Source organism: Homo sapiens, chromosome 1 (genome assembly GCF_000001405.40).
Source record: "Homo sapiens chromosome 1, GRCh38.p14 Primary Assembly".
In the NCBI taxonomy this organism is placed as follows: domain Eukaryota; kingdom Metazoa; phylum Chordata; class Mammalia; order Primates; family Hominidae; genus Homo; species Homo sapiens.
The window spans coordinates 66,865,044-66,890,313 of NC_000001.11; the positions used below are offsets into that span (position 1 = coordinate 66,865,044).

General features: G+C 37.3%; 1 protein-coding gene across 13 annotated transcripts in view; it reads right to left on the reverse strand.

Annotated features, from left to right (window-relative positions):
• The window catches only part of DNAI4 (dynein axonemal intermediate chain 4), a 111,972-nt gene that overhangs the window by 52,159 nt on the left and 34,543 nt on the right, over positions 1 to 25,270 (reverse strand). For 12 of the 13 annotated variants that reach the window (XM_017002354.2, XM_047430752.1, XM_017002353.2 and 9 more), the window contains 2 exons: positions 9,738 to 9,894; positions 6,327 to 6,466 (listed from right to left, as the gene is read on the reverse strand). In XM_017002354.2, coding sequence (XP_016857843.1) covers positions 6,327 to 6,466; positions 9,738 to 9,894 — 297 coding nt within the window. The remainder of the gene's footprint in view (positions 1 to 6,326; positions 6,467 to 9,737; positions 9,895 to 25,270) is intronic. The other variant, XM_024449821.2, reaches the window with a different exon arrangement.

Sequence of the window (25,270 nt, forward strand, 5' to 3'; positions counted from 1 at the left end):
TGTTTGCGGTATATATTTCATAATAAAGTTTTTAAATAATGAAAGTTTACACTAAAGAATTTAGATGCAAATTAAGTAAATATTAAGATTTTATGGATGCCAGCCGTGATGGCTCACGCCTGTAATCCCAGCACTTTGGGAGAATGAGGCAGGCAGATCACTTGAGGTCAGGAGTTTGAGACCAGCCTGGCCAACATGGTGAAAACCCCATCTCTACTAAAAATGCAAAAATTAGCCCAGCATGGTGGCATGTGCCTGTAATCGCAGCTACTTGGGAGGCTGAGGCACGAGAATCACTTGAACCTGGGAGGCAGAGGTTGCAGTGAGCCAAGATTGCGCCATTGCCCTTCAACCTGGGTGTCAGAGCAAGACCCCATCTCAAAACAACAACAACAACAAAAAGATTTTATGGATCAATAAAAGTGTACCTTTTCCCTGCCTGATTTTGGATGAAACTGGAAGAGATACAAGAATCAGAGAAATGGAGGTCAAAATATTACCTTTATTACTGATAAGTCTAATTGAAAAATGTAGCCTTAAATCTGCAACTAAATGGACTTGCTAATTCTTCCTTCCAGAATATAGGGAAGAATTACTAACCAGTAACTGTCACAGCTAGACAAGCACAGACTTCCTCCACAGGGGTAAGAACAGCCCAGATTGCATGTTTTCTGCAAGTGGACAGACTTAACAAAAAGTGCCTCAGCCAGAAATGACCGAGCTTCATTCCTTCTCCTAAATTCTCTTATGGAATTAGTCACTTCTCTTTTCCTGGGAATGAGTAAATAATGTATAGAGAGAGGCCAGAAGTGTTAATTTAGCAGAAGTTATTTCTGTAAAGGTTCACAAAAAGGGAGGAGTAAGTTTTCCCTGACAGTATACATACAGTCACTTATGGAAAGGTGGCATTTCAAATAATTGAGCTTCAGCTTAACTATGGAGGCCTACTGAAAAGGAAAGCGGGAACTGGATTAAGAATGGTAAAGGCAGTGTGGTGGCTCATGTCTCATCCCAGCACTTTGGGAGGCTGAGGACAGTGGATCACTTGAGGTCAGGAGTTTGAGATCAGCCTGGCCAAAACGGTGAAATCCCATCTCTAGTAAAAATACAAAAATAAGCCAGGTGTGACGGCAGGCACTTGTAGTCCCAGCTACTTGGGAGGGTGAGGCAGGAGAATCACTCGAATCCAGGAGGCGATGGTTGCAGTGAGCTGAGATTGCACCATGGCACTCCAGCCTGGGCGACAGAATGAGACTCTGTCTCAAAAAAAAAAGAAAAAAAAAAGAATGGTAAATGCAAGCTAGATGCAGAAAAGAATTCAGACCGATAATGTACCTAAGTATTCTGTCCTCAGGTTAAAGAGATTGTATAATGTTAGCAAGCATCTAGGTTATGGTAGTGATCAATATGTCAATCTCAAGTTTTAATGTAAATAGGTTGCCTTCTATGTTTGGTGAACAGCTGAAATCCTAGGCTATCTAGTCATCATCCTTCTGGGAACTACTATCACCTCACTCCTATGTCAGATCTCCTGTTCAATGTATTTTATTGTCTTCTTCTTTTTTGTTTCACAGTTGGTTTTGGTTGAGCACATCCTTGACTTCTTGAAAAAATATACAGGAGGGGTAAATTATTTTGATACTTTGCATATATGAAAATGTCTTTATTCTACCATCATACTTGACATTTGGTTGGATGTAGTATCTAGACTGGAAATTATTTACCTTCTAAATTTTGAAGGCAGTTGTATTAGTCCATTTTCATGTGGCTATGAGGACATACCCAAGGGTAATTATAAATTAAAATTAAAAATTACCAAGGGTAATTTATAAAGAATTTTAATTGACTCACAGTTCCACATGGCAAGGGAGGCTTCACAGTCATGGTGGAAGGTATGTCTTGCATGGCAGCAGGTGAGAAAAGCGAGTGACGAGCGAAGGGGGAAGCCCCTTATAAAACCATCAGATCTCATGAGAACTCACTCACTATCAAGAATAACATGAAGGTAACCACCCCCGTGATTCAATTATCTCCACCTCTTCCCTCTCACAACATGTAGGAATTATGGGGATTAAAATTCAAGATGAGATTTGGGTGGGAACACAGCCAAGCATATCAGCAGTGTTCCATTACATTCTTGTTTCCAACCAGTCTGATGTCTTGTTCTCTACACTGACCTATTTATTTTTCTCTCTGGTAGTTTGTGGACATTTTCTGTCCCCCACATTTTAAAATTTCATTTATTGGTAATATGCTGGCACTTGTTGTTCCCCTTCAATCTTCCAACTTTTGACTTTCAAGTCTGAGAGGTTTTACTGAATTATCTCCTCCCCTCCATTTTCTATTTTAGGAACCATTATTGACTATTGAACTTTCTGGATTGGTCCTCTAATTTTATTGTTTCTCTTAGATTTTCCATCTCTTTGTTTTTCTTCTCTACTTCTTGGAATTTTTTTTTTGTTATCTTCCAAACATTTTATTAAGCTATCAAGATCTTTTTATTCTTTGGATTTTTTTTTAAAGAACATTCTGTTCTTGTTCCATGAATGCAACAGATTCTGACAGCGTTTGCTCAATTTTAGGAGCATTTCTGTGGAGGGACACGTCAGAACTACCTACTCTGCCATTTTTGTTGCATCATCCTGGAACTATTTTTTTTAGTTGATATTCCTGAGGTAGCTAAGTAGACACTAATGTCACCTACAAATAATGACTATTTGTTTTTGAATCCTTATAAATATTAGTATCTTATATCTGTTGCTGTGTTACTGCAATAGTTGGAACTGCCAAAACAAACTTGAAGAGTTACTGTGATAAGTGACACTATGTTCTGGTTCTTATATTTAATAGATCACAGCAATTATTATCTCTAGTGGTTCACCTGAAAGCAAAAATTTTGCTTTTTATTTTAAATATTTTATCAAGAAGATCCATACCATTCCTGTACAGATAATTTCATCAGGAATGAAGTCTGAATTGCATCAACTGCTCTTTTTGGCATTTACCGTTCTTGTTTTACATTAAACCTATAAATATGATTTTGTAATGATGAATCATAGCTTTCCTGATATTTAATAATCTTTATACTCCTAGAATAAGTTGTTGCTATAGGGATTCCTAATGCCTTGAGGGTTCAAATTTATACTACTATATTTTTAATTTTTCCACATATCTATGAGATTAGTCTATATTTTCTTTGTAATGTTTTGTTAACCTTGTTTTAAAAACTACAAAATATCCTCATATTTTATATGACTTGGAGCAATTTAAATAACATGGTGTGATGGTTAACTTTATATGTCAACCTGACTGGGCACAGGATGCCTAGCTAGCTGGTTAAACGTTGTATCTGGGTGTATCTGTGAGGGTGTATTCACAAGAGATTAACATTTGAATTGGTGGACTGAGTAAAGCAGATGGCTCTCTCCAATGTGGTGGGCATCATCCAATACACTGAGGGCTGAATAGAATTAGAAGGTGGAGGAAGGTTGAATTCACTCTCTGCCTGATTACTTCAGTAGGGGCATCAATCCCCTGCCCTCAGTGCTCCTGGTTCTCAGGTGTTCAGAGGTAGACTGGAATCGATACTGTTGGCTCTTCAACTCTCAGGGCTTCAAACTACCACATTAGCTTTCCTGTGTCCCCAGTTTGCACATGGCAGATTATGGTACTTCTCAGCCTCCATAATTACATAAGCCAATGCCCTGTAATAAATCGCTTTATAAATAAATACTAGATATAAACTATAAATTGGCCAGGCACAGTGGCTCATGCCCGTAATCCCAGCACTTTGGGAGGCCGAGGTGGGCAGATCATGGGGTCAGGAGATCGAGACCATCCTGGCCAACACAGTAAAATCCCGTCTCTACTAAAAATACAAAAATTAGCTGGGTGTGTTGGTGCGCCTGTAGTCCCAGATACTTGGGAGGCTGAGGCAGGAAAATCACTTGAACCAAGGAGGCGGAGGTTGCAGTGAGCCGAGATTATACCACTGCACTCCAGCCTGGCGACAGAGTGAGACTCTGTCTCAAAATAAATAAATAAATAAATAAATAAATAAATCCTAGATATGAATATATATATATATATACATATTCTATTGGTTCTGTTTTTCTGAAGAATCCTAATACACATGAATATTATAAAGTATTCTCACATTTACAGAATAAACCTCTAAAGTAATTTGACCTTGATCTAGGCCATTTTAAAATGGTATTTTTGATAAAATTTTCCCATTTCTTTGAGTTAATGTATAATTCTATTACTTCTTGGGGAGTGTTGATAATTTTGAGTTCCATAAAGAATCATTCTTTTTTTATTTTCAAATATTTTAGCATAAAGTTACATACAGTAATCCATTTAAAATATTTAAACCCTTTACTTTTGGAAAAAAATATGAATAGGTTTCCTAATATGAATTGGAAACCTAAAGTTACATACAGTAATCCATTTAAAAATATTTAAACCCTTTACTACATATTAATATTTGGAAAAAATATGAATAGGTTTCTTAATATGAATTGGTTAAGGACTAGAAAAAGTTACTAAATATCATCTAGGAATTCACTTTTCTGGGTCCATCCAAGTTTGCACCAATTAAGAAACTGACAAGGAATAAAACAGAGATCAAAATTACCTTTATTACTGATAATGTTTAGATTGGCTGATACAGTTTAGATGTGCAGCAACAATGAGCTTGATAACCACAGGCCTAACAATGTTGAGTCCTCCCCCTATAAAATTTATAGCATGGAGAAACCAATCAGAATTTGTATTCCTTTCTGCCAGCAGGCTACTAGAAGAGGGAAAGCAGGGGAATAACCGTACATCCCCATGTATGGTTATTTACCAATCAAGTAAGTCATACCTCCACTCCTAAGTAGGAATGAGTGAGAGAATAGAAAGAGATGGAGATAAAGATATCCACTCATGTTCTTCCACATAAAAGAAAACATTAGGAGTAAGGAATAAATGCTCTCACCAATAAGATGTATGTATGTTCTTTGATTAAAAGCAATGATTAATTTTTTTGCTAGGGGTTTGTTCTGTTAATCTTTTGTAAAAACTAGCTTATAGTTTTGCTGCATAATAAAGGCAATTAAGAATAAAACCGGCCATGGCCAGGCGCGGTGGCTCATGCCTGGAATCCCAGCACTCTGGGAGGTCGAGATGGGAGGATCACCTGAGGTCAGGAGTTTGAGACCAGCCTTCAACATGGTGAAACCCCATCTCTACTAAAAATACAAAAATTAGCTGGCCATGGTGGTGGGCACCTGTAATCCCAGCTACTCGGGAGGCTGAGGCAGGAGAATTGCTTGAACCCGGGAGGCGGAGGTTGCAGTGAGCCAAGATTGCGCCATCGCACTCCAGCCTGGGTGACAAGAGCGAAACTGTGCCTCAAAAAAAAAAAAAAAAGAATATAACCAGCTGGGCACAGTGGCTCATGCCTGTAATCCCAGCACTTTGGGAGGCTGAGGTGGGCGGATCGCCTGAGTTCAGGAGTTCAAGACCATCCTGGCCAACATGGTGAAAACCCATCTCTATAAAAATACAAAAATTCGCCGGGCATGATGGCAGGTGCCTGTAATCCCAGCTGCTTGGGAGGCTGAGGGGGAGAATTGCTTGAACCCAGGAGGCAGAGGTTGCAGTGAGCCAAGATTGTGCTATTGCATTCCAGCCTGGGTGACAAGGTGAGACTCTGACGCAAAAAAAAAAAAAAAAAAAAAAAAAAAAAGGAAAAATATAACTTTGCTTGTAATTACTTCTTTGGCTACACCCTACAGATTTTGGCTATGCAATGTGCTCAGGGTTGTTAATTTGTACACAGTGAGAGGTGGTAAGTATAGTAGTTAAGTGCACAAGCTCTAGAACCAGAACAGTTAGCAAACTTCTCTTTGCCTGTTTCCTCATCTATAAAATGGGGAAGCATAATAGTATCTACCTCATAGGGTTGCTGTAAAAATTAAACCAGTTAATACATGTGAAGGACATAGTGTCTGACACATTTAAAATGTTAATAGTTATGGCTGATATTCTTTGTGACATAGTAAATAATCAGTTTATATAAACGTTTAAAGAGTATAAAGTTCTATGATATAGTATGCATAAAAACCAAGATGAATAATTATGTTATTCAAATCTATATATTTATTACTTAACATGTCAAATTCTGAAAGCTATAGAACACAGTGTCCAACTACTGTTGTGGTTTGGCCAAATTATTTTTATTTTTGCTTTATACATTTCAATATTCACTTGTCGATTGACAGACTCAAAAAATGTATATTAGAACATTATAGTTTATCAAGCAGAATGATAGAAATTACCTTTATCTTCCATTATGATTTTATCACATTGAACATCTTTATTCTTTGGTGCTCCATTGAAAGTCTGCATCATCCTTTCAACATATAGGTCATTGCCTAATCTGTTTCTACAAAGGACTTCATAATTCTTGTTTCTCTGACTGTAAAAAATAAAGTGTATCCAACTCATTAATAAGAATCATCACCACACGTATTATCTCTTTATATTATTCTTTTCCCTAAAATTACTTTCCTTAATGTGGCTTGCACCAAAAAGTGAAGTGAGACTTCAAAAAAAGCCTTAGGAAAAGACTGCACTAAATGACCTCCAGAGGACTCTTTTATACTGTGTCTATTTCCCAACATCCCTACTACTATCGGTACCTTATCAATAACATGCTAGTACTAACTCCATGTAGGTTTTAGTTCTGAATATTTTTAAATTTTCCATTACTTCTTTGATGACCCATGAGGAATTTAGAAATGTGTTTTTGAACTTCCAAATGTGTATGTAAATGTGTCTGTTTTAGTTGAGATTTATGTTATTAACTTTATTGCACTGTGGCCAGAAATTTTCATTTGTATAATTCTATTCTGAAATTTTTGAGACCTTGCTTCATAGCCTTATGAATAATTTTTTATAAATGCTGCATGTGTGCTGAAAGAGAATGTGTTCTCTAATTGTTGAGTGCAGAAGTCTGTATCTGACCATTAAGTTTTTATTCAAATTTTCTATATCCATACTAATGTGTTCTCTGGTTGACCTACCAATAATTAAGAGAGGTGTGTTTAAATCTCCTACTTTAACAGGATATGTATCAAGTTTCCAATTTTTGCTTCACATATTTTCAGGTTATTTTATTTATTTATTATTTATTTATTTATTTATTTATTTATTGAGACGGAGTCTTGCTCTGTCACCCAGGCTGGAGTGCAGTGGCGTGACCTCAGCTCACTGCAACCTCCGCCTCTCAGGTTCAAGTGATTCTCCTGCCTCGGCCTCCCGAGAAGCTGGTACTACTGGCATAAGCCACCACGCCCAGCTAATTTTTGTATTTTTAGTAGACACGAGGTTTTACCATGTTGACCAGGCTGCTCATGAACTCCTGACCTCAGGTGATCCAAACCACCTCATCCTCCCAAAGCGCTGGGATTACAGGTGTGAGCCACCGTGCCTGGCCCATGTTATTTTATTAGGAATATTCAAGTTCAGGATTACTATACCTTCCTATCATTATGAAGTACACTTTATCCCTAATAATGCTGTCAGTTTAATTGTTCCTCTGTAGGTGACGTGTTTTTAAAAAATATTTTTTCTATTTTTATTTTTTAATGAAATTACTTTTATATTCCAATGCTCTTATTTATCTATTTATTTATTTATACATAATAATAATAAGAGATGTGGTCTCACTGTGTTGTCCAGGGTGATCTCCACTCACTGCAACCTTCCCCTCCTGGAGAAGCAATTCTCGTGCCTCAGCCTCCTGAGTAGCTGGGATTACAGGTGCCCACCACCATGCCCAGCTGATTTTTGTATTTTTAATAAAGACAAGGTTTCATCATGTTGGCCAGGCTGGTCTCAAACTCCTGACCTCAAGTGATCCACCCACCTCAGCCTCCCAAAGTGCTGGGATTAAAGGCTTGAGCTACCACACCCGGCCTGACAGTTTCTTAATGTTAATCATGTTTTAACTCTGTCTTTTATTTGTTTAAACATTTCACACATATTTTATATTCTATATCTGATAATATAATTATCTATAGTCTTCAGGATCTATACCAAATTCAACCTGAGGGAATTCTTCTCCTTCTCCTTCTCCCTTTCCTTCTCCCTCTCCTTCTCCCTCTCCCTCTCCTTCTCCCTCCTCTCCCTCCTCTTCTTCTTCCTTTTTTTTTTTTTTAGACATGGTCACATGGTCTCTCTCGGTTGACCAGGCTGGAATGCAATGGCATGAACACAGCTCACTGCAGCCACAACTTCCCGTGATCAATCAAGTGATTCTCCTACCTCAGCCTCCCGAGCAGCTGGGACTACAGGTATGTACCACCAAGCCCGGCTAATCAAAAAAGAAAAAAAAAATTGTGGAGATAGGGCTCTCGCCATGTTGCAGGCTGGTACAAACTCCTGGGCTCAAGCCATCCTCCTGCCTTGGCCTCCCAGAGTGCTGGGATTACAGGCATGAGCCACCACATCCAGGTGATCTGAAGGAATCTTAAGAGCCAAAATGGTGGTATGCTTTGCTCCAGAGATTTGTGTTTGCTTCTGACAGTAGGGAGTTGACTCTACTGGCCTAGGATCAGTTGAGATAATTGAGCTCCTTTTGAGAGTCTTGGCTTAACACAAGAATCTCTCTTTCAGCTCTTTCAGTGTAAGGGTTGGGAGAACCCAAGACTCATCACTGGTCTCCAGATCCATATGTTAATATTAACATTTCTTCCCAGCATTTCTCCCCTTCTGATTTCAAAGCAATTATCTGTCCCTTTCTTTTTTCCCTCTTTCCTTTTTTTTTTTTTTTTTTTTTTTGGTCCTAGGAACTTTCCCTTCCTTCTTATGAGCTTTTAAAGGTACGCTATTCATGATCTAACATGTACTATGTTTTATAGTCCAAACCATATTATAATATTTTAGATTTTGAGAAGGAATAATACCCTAAAATTATTTTAGTGATGGAGTTTTTAGTACTATAAATCCTATTCAAATAATACTTTAGGTAAAATAATCAGAATAACTATTAATAATCTACTTATAGTAGCTATATTAATTTTAGATGGAGGAGAGCGGAACAAGAAAAATTATTAGGGATAAAGAGGGATAGTACAAAATGATAAAGGGGTCAATTCTTCATGAAAACATAACAATCCTTAAATGTGTATCTGCCTAACAACAGACTGTCAAAATACTTGAGACCAAAACTAACTCTATTTATATTCATTAATAAAGAGAAATGGAAAACTTCTCTAATATAGTAAATTCATTTATTTACCCATATTTTGCCTTCCTAAGTTTTAAATATTAGGTTGGTGCAAAAGTAATTGCGGTTTGGCTATTACTATAAAAATGTCATTTCTTTCTTTTTAAATTGAAAATGATTTATATATGTATAAAAGTAAAAATAATTAAAACCTATATAGAGACTTGGAAGCTTATTCTGTTATTTGGCTTAGAAGTTCGCCTAATTATTTAAAAATATGGTAAAGCTATGGGCTCTTCCTCTAGAAAAATTTACACACAACATAAACATGAACATAAAAGTTCACATGGCACTTATATAACTTTGTATATAATTTTGTAGGGAATATACAGTCTCCCCCCAAACCCCATAGTGTATACCCCAGAACCCCCAAGGACCCTTCACAGAAACAAGGATAAGAACCCTTGGCTTAGCATTTGAATTACAGAAACAATGTAGACAACTGAACCATACATACGTTACTTTCTCAGCTTCTTCAGATTCTACAGAGACCATGACTGTGGGCAAGTCAAAAAATCTCAGTGTTTCTGTCTCTGTGAGTATTATCTCTATATTCTTCTCCAGGTCTTCTTTTGTTACAATTTTTTCAGGTGCTGCCCTTATAACTTGCAAATCTAAAATACATGACTTAATTAAAATCATTTACTAATTGCTATTTTTAATTTGCATTTTTCCTTCTAGTCACCAATATACCATAATGGGTAATATATTGCAGGTGGTTTATATAGTCAAGGAACAGGCCAGGTTGTGAGATGTAGTATATTCAACCTTTCTGAAGCCAAATTGGATCTTGTAGGCCATAAACAGCCTTCTTGCTGACATAACAAGCCTACCCCAGTCTAATACCAATAGTCATAACTCTAAGGGTATTCCATTATAACTATCCCACAATATTAATTGGGAACTGGGGTTAGCAACTGTTGGTACTACTCAAGAATATGGAGGCAAGTATATTTAGGGGGCATAATAAGCAACACTTCTTTGAGCCGTGAAGTTAACTTCTAATTCGTTGCTTTAGCAAACTTTTATCCTTCATTTGCCCTCCTTATTAGCTGTCTTTTAATTTAGATGTCATTCCACCTCTAATCATCTTCACCAGGGGTAAAGACTCTACTATATTAGTCCTGGTTGACTATAGAAATAAAATTGGAACCAATGTCTATGCAAATAATAGAGTGAAAATAATTGGCCATAAACCTTTAGGACAGTCAGAACTTGATCCAAGGTCCTTGGAAAATTCCATTGAGAATTGAGTTTCACAGCTGGGAGAGTTTGGAATTGGTTATGTGGGTAACAGCCATGAGAAAGTATATAAGTGAGAGTTCAATGTTTTCTATCAACAACAGGGTATACAGCAGACATTCATGAGCCTTTGGGATAGGTAAAGCTTGGACAGCTTTAGGAAAACTTAAAAACGTCTCAGTCTCCTCTTAAAAAGGTTCAGAGCTGAGAAAAACACCTTCCTTATAATCTAAAAAAAAACAAGTTATTAATTCCAAAAACCAATCATCAACATTTTTAATGACTAAATAAATTATGATATACCATCTATGACTAATAAATAGTAAGTAATGTAATAATACAAATTTTTGAAAATATGTTCTAAAATGTTAAATGACAGAGCAGCCCAGAACATGATCTGTACTATGGTAATAAGAATGTAAAATATTATGCAGATAAACAAGGTCAGGAAACAGAAAATTTTAAGTTGCAAATCTTCTTTAGTTTTGGGTGATTCTTCTTTTTTAAAAATATTCTTTAATTTTTTTCTATTTGTGTAATAAATTTTAAAAATAAGTAAAAGATTTTATTTATATAAGTAAATTTGACTAAGACAGACAAAATGAGTAAAGAAGTAAATGAGTTATCCACAAGAACAAAATTTGAGGTACATGTAGTCCAAACTTTTTGTCAATGAAGAAAATAAAAAACAGAGGTTAAGTGAAAAGTCCACACAGGAATACTAACAATTTTAAGGCTAGCGATTTAGGCTCTTGATTCTCTGAGGTTTCTTACTGTTAGACCACCAGATCTTCCTTTGCAATTTAGTTATATAAACTTCAAAGTAACATTGTGGCACAGACATGCTAATTATAAAAATAAATGATCTTATATTAGATAAATTACATATATAGAACCTAATATGGTAACATCTCAGTTATTACGGTTGGGAAAAGTAATAGTCTAGTCAACCTTCTTGATGGCAGAGGACTTACCATTCATAGACAAAGCCCTAGGATGGCAAATAGGATTTTTGCCTGGAGTTCTGTATCACCCATTTCCTAAATGTTGCTTGAATTTACTATATGTTCAGAAACTACCCCCAAACCACACTCTTTACCTATAGAATCTGCCTATTTCATGGGTCAGATCCCCTAACTTTAGACTGGCTGTACCACAGATTTTGAGTACACCTCTCTCTCCACCTAGAAAAGAATCACAATTCTATCAATCTGTTTTGCCTGCTCCTCTTGACTGCCAATGATGGAGGGAACATCTACACTCCTAAAGGTTCTTCCCAGAGGAGGGAGCTCCAGCCTAGTATGACAATCATGGCTCCTCTCCACACCTTTACTCATGAATCCCCTTGAGAGGGTTAGGAGAGTCCTGAAGTGGTCTAGAACCTTTCGTGAATGGGTGGGTAAGTCTGTCAAATGTGAGGGTTTAACAGGGGACTTTTATCCATAATGTGATATTTTGGCTCCAATTCATCATATTTACCCTTATCATATTTTTCAATTAATTCAGAACAGGGTGAGGAAAAGGGATGCAATTGTTTGGCTATTCTCAGAGACCCCAGTAGAGAACAACCTATGAAGCCTTCCTTGGCCTCTACTTTAGCTTCAATGGGCCCAATACAATTACAGCATAATTGAGTCACAAAAGCAGTTTATTCTTCCTCCCTTCTCCTCACTTGTCAAAAGTATCTATTAGTGACTTATTTATTAACTGAGAGCATCCAGAGACAACCTGTGCATGAGATGCTGTTTGGCCCCTACCTTGCAATTAAAACCACAAACTTTTCTAAGCACAAAACTCCTTCTAGTTATATGGTAAAGCAATGGTTCTCAAACTTTACCCTGCAACAGAATCACCCAAGGGCTTAGCAATAATTGCTTGGACTTACCTCTAGACTTTTTTTCAACATTTGGTAAACTTTGTATTTTAGAATAGTTTTAGGTATACAGAAGAGTTGTAAGAATAATTAGAGTTTCTGTATACCCTATATCCAGTTTTCCCTATTGTTAATATTACTTTGGTACATTTAGTACAACTACAATATTGCTATTTTATCATCATATAAAGTCCATATTTTATTCTAATTTCCTTAAATTTAACTAATGTCATTTTTCTCTTCCAGGATCTCATCCAAGACACCACATTACATTTAGTCATGATGTCTCCTTACGGCTCTCTACACTGTGACAGTTTCTCAGAATTTCCTTGTTTTTGATGACTTTGAGAGTTTTGAAAAGCAGCAGTCATGTATTTTGTAGAATGTCCTTCAATTTGTGATTTTCTGATGTTAAACAAGTGTTATGGGTTTCTGGGAGGAAGACTACAGAGGTAAAGTGTCATTCTCATCATATCATATCAAAGATACATGCTAACATCATAACTTATCATTGATGGTGTTAATCTTGGCCACCTGTCAATATCCTCTGCTTTAAAGTTATTTTCCCCCCTCTCTCTTTTACATATTGTACTGTTTAGAAGAAAGTCAACATGCAAAGCCCATACTTGTAGAATGGGAAGTTAAGATCCACCTTCTTGAGGGAAGAATATCTATATAATTATTTGGAATTCTCGTGTAAAAAGATTTTTCTATTCTCTCCTCTTCATTTATTCAATATTAGTTTGTGTTACTATGAACTCATGCGTATTTATTTTATAATTTGGGTTATAATCCAATTCTACAATATTTATTTTGTTGTTGAAATTGTTCTACCTTTTGCCATTGTGAGCTCTTTCTGTTGGCTGCTAGGTTCCTCTCAAATACCCCTTTTTGTTGTTTGTTTATTGTAGAGTTTTGTTCTATTTTGTTTTGTTTGAGCACTTCTTTACTTGCTGGCTCATCTTGTATCCATGCACCAACTCTAGAATCAGGCATTTCTTCAAAGAGCCCTAGTTGCTTTTATTAGAGAATGGAATTAGAAACCAAAATCTGAGCACTGAGAGTGCTTGCTGCTTCTGGGGTATCATTACTTCTAGGCTTTCTTAGTGGACAGAGCTAAGAAATATTTGTATGTATACTAACTTGTATATACAAACATATCTATACATCTATGTTCATCTATATCTCTATTAAGCTAAACATGAGTTTATATTAATGTTTTTGACACTTGTTCAATACCACATAAATAATTCTAGCTTCCCTTCTTGCTTTCTGTAATCTCCCACTCCAACAATGGTGAGTTCCTACCATCTGCCCTCCAATTACTTACATGTTCAATCCCAGTATGCATGTACAATGATTCAGAATTATTAACCAATACCCCCATGGGAAGTGACTATAAACTAGAGTGTTTATTTGCAGTTCCTTTTGTCTTTAATCTTATAGCCTCTACTCATTTTCAATATTATTTAGGTATATACCCTTTCCTCCCACTCCTTCTGGAGGGTTATATTATACATTTGTAAGGCAGTTTGATTCTTTTGTTACAGTCTGTATTCCATTGTAGGATCCTCGTATTTCTTAATTGTGATTTTAAAAAACCTCCCACATTTTAAGTCTCACTTTTTGTGTTGTAATATTCTTTGGGTTTTAGTAAAGGCATGGTGCTATGTATCCACCATTATAGTATCTATACAGAATAGTTTTACCATCCTAAAAATATTCATTATGCTTCACCTATTCAACTCTCCCTTCTCTTCAAGGCCCTGCTACCGACCATTGATTTGTTTTCTGTTTCTATAGTTTTGCCTTTCTCTAGACTGTCATATAAGTAGAATCAGACAGGATATAGTCTTTTCAGACTGGTTTATTTGACTTAGCAATAAGTATTTAAGATTCATCAATCTTGTTGCATGGATTCATAGCTCATTTTTTTATTGCTGAATAATATTCCATTATATGGACATGCTATTGTTTATTTATCTGTTCACCACTTAAAAGACATCTTGGTTGCTTCTAGTCTTCTGCATTGATGATTCAGCTGCTAGAAACTTTTGAGTGGAGATTTTTGTGTGAAGATAAATTTTCAGTTCATTTGGGTAAATACCAAGGAACACAACTGCTTGATGATATGGTAAGAGTATGTTTAGTTTTATGCGAAATTGTCAAACTATATTCCAAACTGGATGTACCATTGTGCATCCCCACCAGCAAGGAATGAGAGTTCCTATTTCTCCACATCTTTGCCAGCAATTGGTATTATCAGGTTTTTTTAGCCATTTAAATGCATATGTAGTACTATCTCATTTTTAATTTGTATTTTCCTAATGACATATGAAACTGAGCATCATTTCATATGCTTATTATATGCCATCTGTATATCTTTTTTGATGAAGTGTTTGTTCCTATGTTTTGTTCATTTTTCACTGGGTTGGTGATATGGTTTGGCTGTGTCCCCACCCAAATCTCATCTTGAATTGTAACTCCCACAGTTCCCACATGTCATGGGAGGAACCCAATGGGAGGTGATTGAATTAAGGGGGTGGGTCTTTCCTGCACTGTTTTCTTGATAGTGAATGAGTCTCACAAGGTCTGATGGTTTTAAAAGCGGGAGTTTCCCTGCACAAGCTCTCTATTTTGCATGCCACCATCCACATGAGATATGACTTGCTCATCCTTGCCTTCTGGCATGATGGTGAGGCCTCCCCAGCCATGTGGAACTGTAAGTCCATTAAACCTCTTTTTCTTCCAAGTCTCAGGTATGTCTTTATCAGCAGCATGAAAATGGACTAATACAGTAAATTGGTACCAGTAGAATGGGGTGCTGCTGTAGACACCCGAAAATGTGGAAGCAACTTTGGAACTGGATAACAGACAGAGGTTGGAAGAGTTTGGAGGGCTCAGAAGAAGACAGGAAAATGTGGGAAAGTTTGGAACTCCCTAGAGACTTTTTGCATGGCTTTGACCAAAATGCTGAGAGCGATACGGACAATACAGTCTAGGCTGAGGTAGTCTCAGATGGAAATGAAGGGCTCGTTGGGAACTGGAGCAAAGGTGACTCTTGTTTTAGCAAAAAGAGTGGTGACATTTTGCCTCTGCCTTAGAGATTCGTGGAACTTGAACTTGAGAGAGATTTAGGGTATCTGGCAGAAGAAATTTCTAAGCAACGAAGCATTCAAGAGGTGACTTGGGTGCTGTTAAAGGCATTCAGTTTTATAAGGGAAGCAGAGCATAAAAGATTGGAAAATTTACCACCTGACAATGCAATAGAAAAGAAAATCCCATTTTCTGAAATGAAATTCAAGCTGGCTGCAGAAATGTGGATAAGTAATGAGAAGCCAAATATTAATCACCAAGACAATGGGGAAAATGTCTACAGAGCATGTCAGAGGTCTTCATGGCAGCCCCTCGCATCACAAGCCTGGAGGCCTAGGAGGTGAATGTGGTTTTGTGGGCTGGGCCCAGGGTCCCGGTGTTGTGTGCAGTCTAGGTATTTTGTGCCCTGCATCCCAGCCACTCCAGCCGTGACTAAAAGGGATGAAGGTACAGCTCAAGCTATGGCTTCAGAGGGTGGAAGCCCCAAGCCTTGGCAGCTTCCATGTGGTATTGAGCCTGTGAGTGCACAGATGTCAAGAACTGAGGTATGAGAACCTCCCCCTAGATTTTAGAGGATGTATGGTAACGCCTGGATGCCCAGCCAGAAGTTTGCTGCAGGGGCAGGGCCATCATGGAGAAGCTCTGCTAGGGCAATGCAGAAGGGAAATGTGGGGTGGGAGCCCCCACACAGAGTCCCTACTGGGGCACTGCCTAGTGGAGCCTTGAGAAGAGGACCACCATCCTCCAGACCCCAGAATGGTAGATCCACTGACAGCTTGCACCATGTGCCAGGAAAAGCCATAGACACTCACTGCCAACCCATGAAAGCAGCCAGGAGGGAGGCTATACCCTGAAAAGCCACAGGGGTGGAGCTGTCCAAGACCATGGGAACCCACCTCTTGCATCAGTGTGACCCGGATGCAAGATACGGAGTGAAAAGAGATCATTTTTGAGTTTTAAAATTTGACTGCCCTGCTGGATTTTGGACTTGCATGGGGCCTGTAGCCCCTTTGTTTTGGCCAATTTCTCCCATTTGGATCAACTGTATTTACCCAATGCCTGTACCCCCATTGTATCTAGGAAGTAACTAACTTGCTTTTGATTTTACAGGCTCATAGGCAGAAGGGACTTGCCTTGTCTCAGATGAGACATTGGACTGTGGACTTTTGAGTTAATGCTGAAATGACTTAAGACTTGTGGGGATTGTTGGGAAGGCATAATTGGTTTTGAAATGTGAGGACATGAGATTTAGAAGAGACCAGGGGTGGAATGATATAGTTTGGCTGTGTCTCCACCCAAATCTCATCTTGAATTGTAACTCCCACAATTCCATGTCATGAGAGGAACCCAGTGGGAGGTGATTGACTTATGGGAGCAGTTCTTTCCTGTGCTGTTCTTGTAATAGTGAATGCGTCTCAAGAGATCTGATGGTTTTAAAAATGGGAGTTTCCCTGAACAACCTCTCTTGTTTGCGTGCTGCCATCCATGTGAGATATGACTTGCTCATCCTTGCCTTCCACCATGATTGTGAGGCCTCCCCAGCCATGTGAAATGTAAGTCCATTAAACCTCTTTTTCTTCCCAGTCTTGGGTATGTCTTTATCAGCAGGGTGAAAACAGAGTAATACAGTTGGGTTTTTTTTACTGTGAAATTTATGAATTGTATATGTACTTTGGATAAAAGTCCGTTATGATCTATTTGATTTGCAAACAATTTTCTCCCAGCCTGTGGTTTGTCTTATCATTCACTTAACATTTTATTTCACAAAGCAAAAATTTTTAAAAAGTCCAATTCTACCAATTTCTAATTTTATGGATTGTGCTTTTGGTGTATCTAAAATTCCATTACCAAAGCCAAGATCACACAGATTTTTTCCTGATGTTTTTCAAAAAGTTTCTTACTTTTGCATTTTAACTTTAGGCCCATGATCCATTTTGAGTTAATTTTTGAGTAAGATGTAAGGTCTGTGTCTATGCTCTCTCTCTCTCTCTTTTTTTTTGCATATGGATGTTCAATTTTTCCATCAACATTTATTGAAAAGAGAATTCTTTCTTCATTGAATTGCCTTTGTATTTTTGTAAAAAATCAGTTGATTATATTAGTGTGGTTCTATTTCTGAGCTCTGTATTCCATTTTATTTATCAGTGTACTTGATTGTGATAGCTCTATACTTATGCTTGAAATCAGGTAATGTGAGTCCTTCACTTTTTTTTTTTCCAGAGTTGGGCTGGCTGTTTTAAATCCTCTGTTCTTCAATATAAATTATAGAATAAATTAGCTGATATCTACAAAAAAGATTGCTGGGATTTTGATTAAGATTGGATTGAATCTATACATCGAATTACAAATAACTGATATCTTTACAATACTGAATGTTCCAATGCATGCATATGAAATTCATTTATTTATTTTTTTTTACTTCTTTCTTCCCTGTTTTGAGGCTTTCTGTGTATAGATTCTGTAAATATTTTGTTAGATTTATACTTTTCTGATGCTACTGTAAATGTTTTTTGTTGTTGTAGTTTAATTTCAAAGTCTAGTAGTTCGTTGATGGCAAACAGAAAGGCAGTTTGCTTTTATATATTGACCTTGTATCCTGCAGTGTTGCAGGATACATGCCTATTGGTGCCAGGAAGTTTTCTTTTCTTTTTTTTTTTTTTTTTTTTTGTAGATTCTTAGGAATTTTCTATATAGACAATGATGTCATCTGTAAGTATAGACAGTTTTATTTCTTGCCTTCCAATCTGTATAAACTTTTTTTGAGACGGAGTTTCACTCTTGTCACCAGACTGGAGTGCAATGGCGCAATCTGGGCTCACTGAAACCTCCACCTCCTGGGTTCAAGTGACTCTCCTGCTTCAGCTTCCCGAGTAGCTGGGATTACAGGTGTGCACCACCACACCCAGCTAATTTTTGGTTTTTTAGTATATACGGGGTTTTGCCATGTTGGCCAGGCTGGTCTTGAACTCCTGACTTCAGGTGATCCGCCCATCTCGGCCTCCCAAAGTGCTGGGATTACAGGTGTGAGCCACCACGCTTGGCCCAATCTGCATGAACTTTATTCCTTTTTTAAAAAGTAAGCCTAGTTTCATTTTGCCTGTGACATAATTTTTAAAATATCTTTTTTAGGAAGATACTTTTAAATATGTTGTATTTTATAGGAATATACAATTTTTAAATTGTAAAGTGACAACTTATTATTGGGTACATTTATGGGGTACAAAGTGATGGTTTATGAATACAATGTAGAATAATTAAATCAAGCTAGTTAACATATCCATCACCTCAAATACTCAACATTTTTGTAGTGAAAATATTTGAAATTTCTCTTTGCAATTTTGTAATATAGAATATTCTATTAACTATATTTACCACATTATGCAATAGACTTTTTAAAAAAACATACTTCTCCTAAGATTTTTCACCCTTTGATCATCTTCTCCCCAATCTCCCAAATCCCTAGCCTTTGTTAACTACCATTCTACATTCCACCTCTATGAGATCAATTGTCTTAGATTCCACATATAACTGAGAACATGTAGTATTTGTCTTTCTGTGTCTGGTTTATTTCACTTAGCATAATGTTCTCTAATTCATTATATCCATGTTGTCACAAATGACAGAATTTCCTTCCTTTTAAGGCTGAATAGTATTCTACTGTGTGTATATACCACATTTTCTTTATCCATTCATCTGTTGATGAACATAAGTTGATTCCATAACTTGGCTACTGTGAATAGTGCTGCAATGAACATGGGATGCAGTCAGAGAAATTGATTTCAAATCTTTTGGGTAAATACCCAGAAGTAGGATTGCTGGATCTTATGGTAATTCTATTTTTAGTTTGAGGAACCTACCTACAGTTTTCCATAATGGCTATACTAATTTATATTCCCATCAACAGTGTATAAGAGTTCCCTTCTTTTTCTGCATCTGATGAAATGATCATACAGTTTTTGTCCTTCATTCTATTGTGATGTATCATATTTATTAATTTGCATATGTTGAACCATGCTTGCATCTCAGGGACAAATCCCACTTGATCATGGTGGATGAGTTTTTTCAATGTGTTGTGGAATTCAGTTTGCTAATATTCTGTTGAGGATTTTTGCATCCATGTTCATCAAGGATATTGGCCCATGATTTTTTCTTGTAATATCTTAGTCTAGCTTTGGCATCAGGGTGATGCTGGCCTTGTAAAATTAGTTTGGAAATGTTCCCCCTTCAGACCCCAACTGCAGCCCTGCCCAACTGCAGATACCAAATAGCGTAATTGCTTAGCCAAGGAATACATCCTGTGACCAAATTAACCAGAAGCCATCAAAGTACCTTGTCAGCAGCTCTGCCGGATAGCAGAGAACAGCCAGTTGTCTCAAAGAACAGTGGAAACCTAAGTTATTAATTGTATATCTCTCTTCTTTTCTAACATATGCATTTGGTGTTATAAATTTCCCTCTAAAAATTGCTTTTTCTTCATCCCCAAATTGTGATAAGTTGTATTTTCATTTTCATTGAGTTCAAATTATTTGTTTTTAAATTTCTCTTGAGACTTCTTTGGCCCATGGGTTATTTAGAATTTTGTGGTTTAATTTGCAAATGTTTGGAAAATTTCCAGCTATCTTTCTGTTATGATTTCTAGCTTATTGCTATTGTCATCTGAGCACATACTTTGTATAATTTCTATTCTTTTGGATTTGTTGAAGTATGTTTTATGGCCCAGAATGTGGTCTACAGAATGCCATCTAGCCTTTCTTTATGTAGATGCAAGTTTCTGACCCATGTCATTTTTCTTTTGCCTGATTAAGTTCTTTCCACATTTCTTTCAGAGCTGGTCTGCTGGAAATAAATTACCTCAGAATTTTCTTTATCTGGGAAAATCTTCATTTCTCCTTCACTGTTGAAGGATAATTTTTCTGGATATAGAATTATAGAATGCCAGTTTTTAATTTCAACACTTTAAAGATTTTTGTTTCACTCTTTTCTTGTTTATTTGGTTTGTGATGAGAAGTCAAATGTAATTTATATCCTTGTTCTTCTAGCCAGGTGTGATGACTCATGCCTATAATAATCCCAGCACTCAGGGAGGCTTGAGGCAGGAGAATCGCTTGAACCCAGGAGTTCAAGACCAGCCTGGGCACATGGCAAAAACCTGTCTGTACAAAAATAAAAGAGAAAAAAAGAAAACAATAAAAAATATATCCTTATTCTTCTATAGGTAAGATTTTTTTCCTTCTGGCTTCCGTCAAGATGTTCTCTTTGTCTTTTGTTGTCTGTAATTTGAATATAATATTCCTAGGTTTTGTGTTTTTGTTTTGCTTTGATATTTATCTTGCTTGGTATTCTTTTTGTATCTGTTGTTTAGTGTCTGACAATTTTGGAATGTTCTCAACAAGTATTACTACAAGCATTTCTTCTATCCCATTCTCTCTTCTGGTATTCCAATTGTGCATATGTTACGCCTTTTGATATTATCCCACAGTTCTTGGATGGCTGTTCTATTTTCATTATTTTTTCTCTTCGCATTTTAGTTTGGGAATTTTTTATTGACCTTCAAATTAACTGATACTTTCCTTAACCCTGTGAAGTCAATGGGGCTATCAAAGATATTCTTCATTCACGTTGCTGTGTTTTTGATATCTAGCATGTCATTTTGAGTCTTTCGTATAATTTTCATCTCTCTGCTGACATTACACACCTTGCACATTGTATACTTTCTCCATTAGATCTCTTAACATATTAATCATAATTATTTAAAATGCCCTGTGCCATAGTTTTTAAATTTGTATCATAACAGCCTGGGTTTGATGCTTGCTTGATCTCTTGAAAATATATTTTTCTTGCCCTTTAGCACTCCTAATGACTTTTTGTTAAAAGCCAGACATGTTGTATCCTGTAACAGGTGCTGAGGTAATAAGGCCTTCAGCAGAAGAATTGATAGCACTCAGGGTAGCAGTTTGGTTGTGTTTAATGTTGTTTTAGCTACAGGTATCAAAACCTTTCTTGTTTTTGTTTCCCTTCCTGGCTTTCAGGCTTCTCTTTGTATTGCTTTAGAGAAAGCCTATGTCTTGCAATTCTTTCATCTGCAATCCAGTATTGTTACTCTGGAGGTTCACTGGTAGTAAGTGTGGAGAAGGGAAGTAGTCTACAATCTGATTGAGTCTCAGACTTTTAGTTAACCTGTGTCTTGGAGACATGGTGTTCACAAGTATATCTATTCCTACTTCAAGGGCACGGTTGTCTTATCCCTGCCCCTACTCCCTTCCCTGGCTGCAACATTTCCAATGGAATTCCTTAAACGCTGTTATCTTTCCTCCTTAGTTAAGAAATAAAGGCTGGTGCTAGAGTAGAATTCCCTTACCCTATCTGGGCTATAGTTTCAAAATTACCCTCTGGCAAATTTCCCCCACCCCCCATCCCCAGACTAAGTCTTTGTTAGAAAAAAAGGGGAAGGAGTGTTTTAAGCTGGATATTCTTTGCCTCCCCTACCAAGGCCACTAGCTTATCCTCAGCTCAGATCTTTAGCTCAGATCCTCAGCTCAGATCCTCACTGAAAGAATCCACTGGATTCCTAGAATGAAGGCCATGTAAGTGTGGGCCCTCTCTTTCCCATGATTGTGCTCCCCCATGAATTTTTTACTCTTATACTAGTAAAATACTCAGCCTCCAGCAATTCATGAAAATAATCATTCATGTGTTCCTCCAGTTTATGGTAAGTAACTCTTGGGAACTGTATTTCTCTGGATTGTCTATCTCTCTAGATCTTAAGGTGGCAGTTTGCCCTTGTCACCACAGTTCTCTGATAAGCCCAATAAAAGTTGTTAATTTTCCATTTGTCCAACTTTTTCTTGTTATAAGACAGGAGTAATGACTTTTAAACTCTCTACATGTAAGAACAGAAACTGGAAGTCCACCACAGAATTTTTTATTCAGTAGGTCTGGGAGGGGGGAAGTTATAAACATATTTTAAATATATTTTTATCTAGAAGTATATTAGAACAGGCTAATTTCAGGAATTTTGTGAGTCAGTTGTTAAACATAGACATTACTCAAAATTAAATTATATAAACTTATTATTAAATAAATCATATTAAAAACAAAGATAATAATTACTCAAGGATCATCACTTCCTAGTTATGCTATTAAATTTTACTACTACCGTCCAGAAGTGGTGGCTCACACCTGCAATCCCAGCATTTTGGGAGGCCAAGGCGGCGGATCACTCGAGACCAGCCTGGCAAAAAAGGTGAAATCCTGTCTCTACTAAAAATACAAAAATTAGCTGAGTGTGGTGGCAGGCACCTGTAATCCCAGCTACTTGGGAGTATGAGGCAGGAGAATGGCCTGAACCCAGGAAGCAGAGGTTGTAGTGAGCCGAGATCGCACCACTGCACTCCAGCCTGGGTGACAGAGCGAGACTTTGTCTCAAAAAAAAAAATCTACTACTACCTAATTCTTGCAGTTATTTAAAATATCTATTGTATCTGTATGGTGGTGTGCTACTAAGTATCTATTTGTAACTTCCCATTCAGAAAATTTATGTTGGGAGCTTGAAATCTGCTGTGATGAGAGGATTTATAACATGGAAATTGGCAAATGCTGCAAATAAATGTTTCCTTGCCACCTGTGTAGGTAGCAAAATATTTATCAGCATACTTACTGCTTAGGCCTAAACCCTAGTCCCAGATATTGCAATTCAATTGACCTGAATTGAGACACAACTATGGGAATTTTTAAAAGGCATACCAGATGACTTTAATATGCATTCTAGAGCGAGGAAGCACTGTTCTGGTCTAAAAAAGAAGCCAGTGGGTAGAAGTAGAATTGTTTAGGTGTCATTCATTTTAGAGGCTGACTTTGTAGTTGGAATTCACCAGCAACGGCTGGGCGTGGTGGCTCACGCCTGTAATCCCAGCACTTTGGGAAGCCGAGGCAGGCAGATCACGAGGTCAGCAGTTCAAGACCAGCCTGTGCAACATGGTGAAACCCCGTCTCTACTAAAAATACAAAAATTAGCCAGGCATGGTGGCAAGCGCCTGTATTCCCAGCTATTCGGGAGGCTGAGGCAGAAGAGTCACTTGAACCCGGGAGGCGGAGGTTGCAGTAAGCTGAGATCATGCCACTGAACTCTAGCCTGGGTGACAGAGCAAGACTCCGTCTAAAAAACAAAACAAAACAAAACAAAAAAATTCACCAGCAACTGGCCAAAGTGATATAAATATCTATATTGTTTTTCAAGTCTTCTGGAGGTAAATTTGTGTTACTTGTTTTTGTTTGTTTTTGATGTAGATAAGCAAAGAAAGGCTTCAAGGCAAATTGTTACATAAAGATTTAGTCTTTATGCTAAGAGTAATGCAAATCCTTTGAAGAGTTAGTTTCTAAGCAAAAGAGGATGCAATTAGTTGTGTTTCTAAAAAAATCATTCTGAATATAGTTTGGAAAAATAGATTGGAAGGTGGCAAGAATATCTACAGAGAAAGCTGGGGGAGGTTATGACAATAATCCAGTTTTCCCTGCCTCCACCTGAGAGAATGAGGGTCTCTCCTGCAGCAGACATTGCTGATTGGTTAGGTTTTTATTCCAAACCCTTTCTCTCTCTCCTTGCCTCTTTCTTTTAATAGAAATAATATAATTAATAGAAAGCTAAATACTTGATTTTCCAGGCTCTTTTAAAGCTAAGGGTGGTCATGTGACAGTTCTGGCCAATGAGATGAAAGCAGAAATATAAAGGAAGCGGAATGGCTTCTGGGAAATTTTTTACCTTCCTGAAAAATGACAGAGATAGGATGGTGCTATTGCCCTTCTCCTTTCTGTCTTTAATGTGGATAAAATGCCCAGAGTGAGCTAGAGAAGATATTTTGAGACCATAAGAAAAGAAGAAAGGCTTTAGGAAAGAGAATAGCAGAACGGCCAATCCAAATTCTGACAAAATTAAGCCAAAAAAAATCAAAGCCAAAAGCTATCTCTTCTTTTAATGTGAGAAAAGTAAATATTTGTTCAATTCTTGTTAGTTGGGTATTCTGTTACTTGCTGTCAGAGTCATTCCTGTTACATCCCCCAACATCAGAAAGAAAAGTCCATAAAGCACCATTTTTCCAACCTTATATCTTCACCAGTCCCTCATTATCATTTTAAAGGAAAAAAATCCTTATTGCACTCCAAATCAAGTACCCCTCAAGTATGTAACCATTTCTCCCAGCACTTCTGATCATCCATTATTATTTCCTCATTCTTGTATCTTCATTTTCATAATCCCTTCTATTACCTCATGTTTTACCCTCTGCCTGGATTGAGCTTCCCCTACTTCTTCTCCAAACAAGTAACTAATCATCTTTAAAAACCTGATTCAAAAGTCAATAATGTTCTCTGTGAAACCTTTTTTATTTTACCTCAAAGGATTTAATCACTCCTTTCTAAGTGTTCCCATGACGTTCCACATATGTTATTATGGAACTGATCACAAATGTATCAGAATTATTTGTCTGCAATTAGAAGCTGAATTTGGTGGCTCACACTGATAATCCCAGTACTTTGGGAGGCCGAGGCACACAGATCACTTGAGCCCAGGAGTTCGAGACCAGCCTGGTCAACATAGTGAAAACCTCTATCTACAATAATTACAAAAAATTAGCCAGGCACGGTGGTACATGCCTGTATTCCCAGGTACTTCAGAGGCTGAGGTGGGAGGATCGCTGGAGCCCAGGAAGCAGAGGTTGCAGTGAGCCAAGATTGCACTCCAGTCTGGGTGACAGAGTGAGATCCTGAGAAGAAGAAGAAAGAAG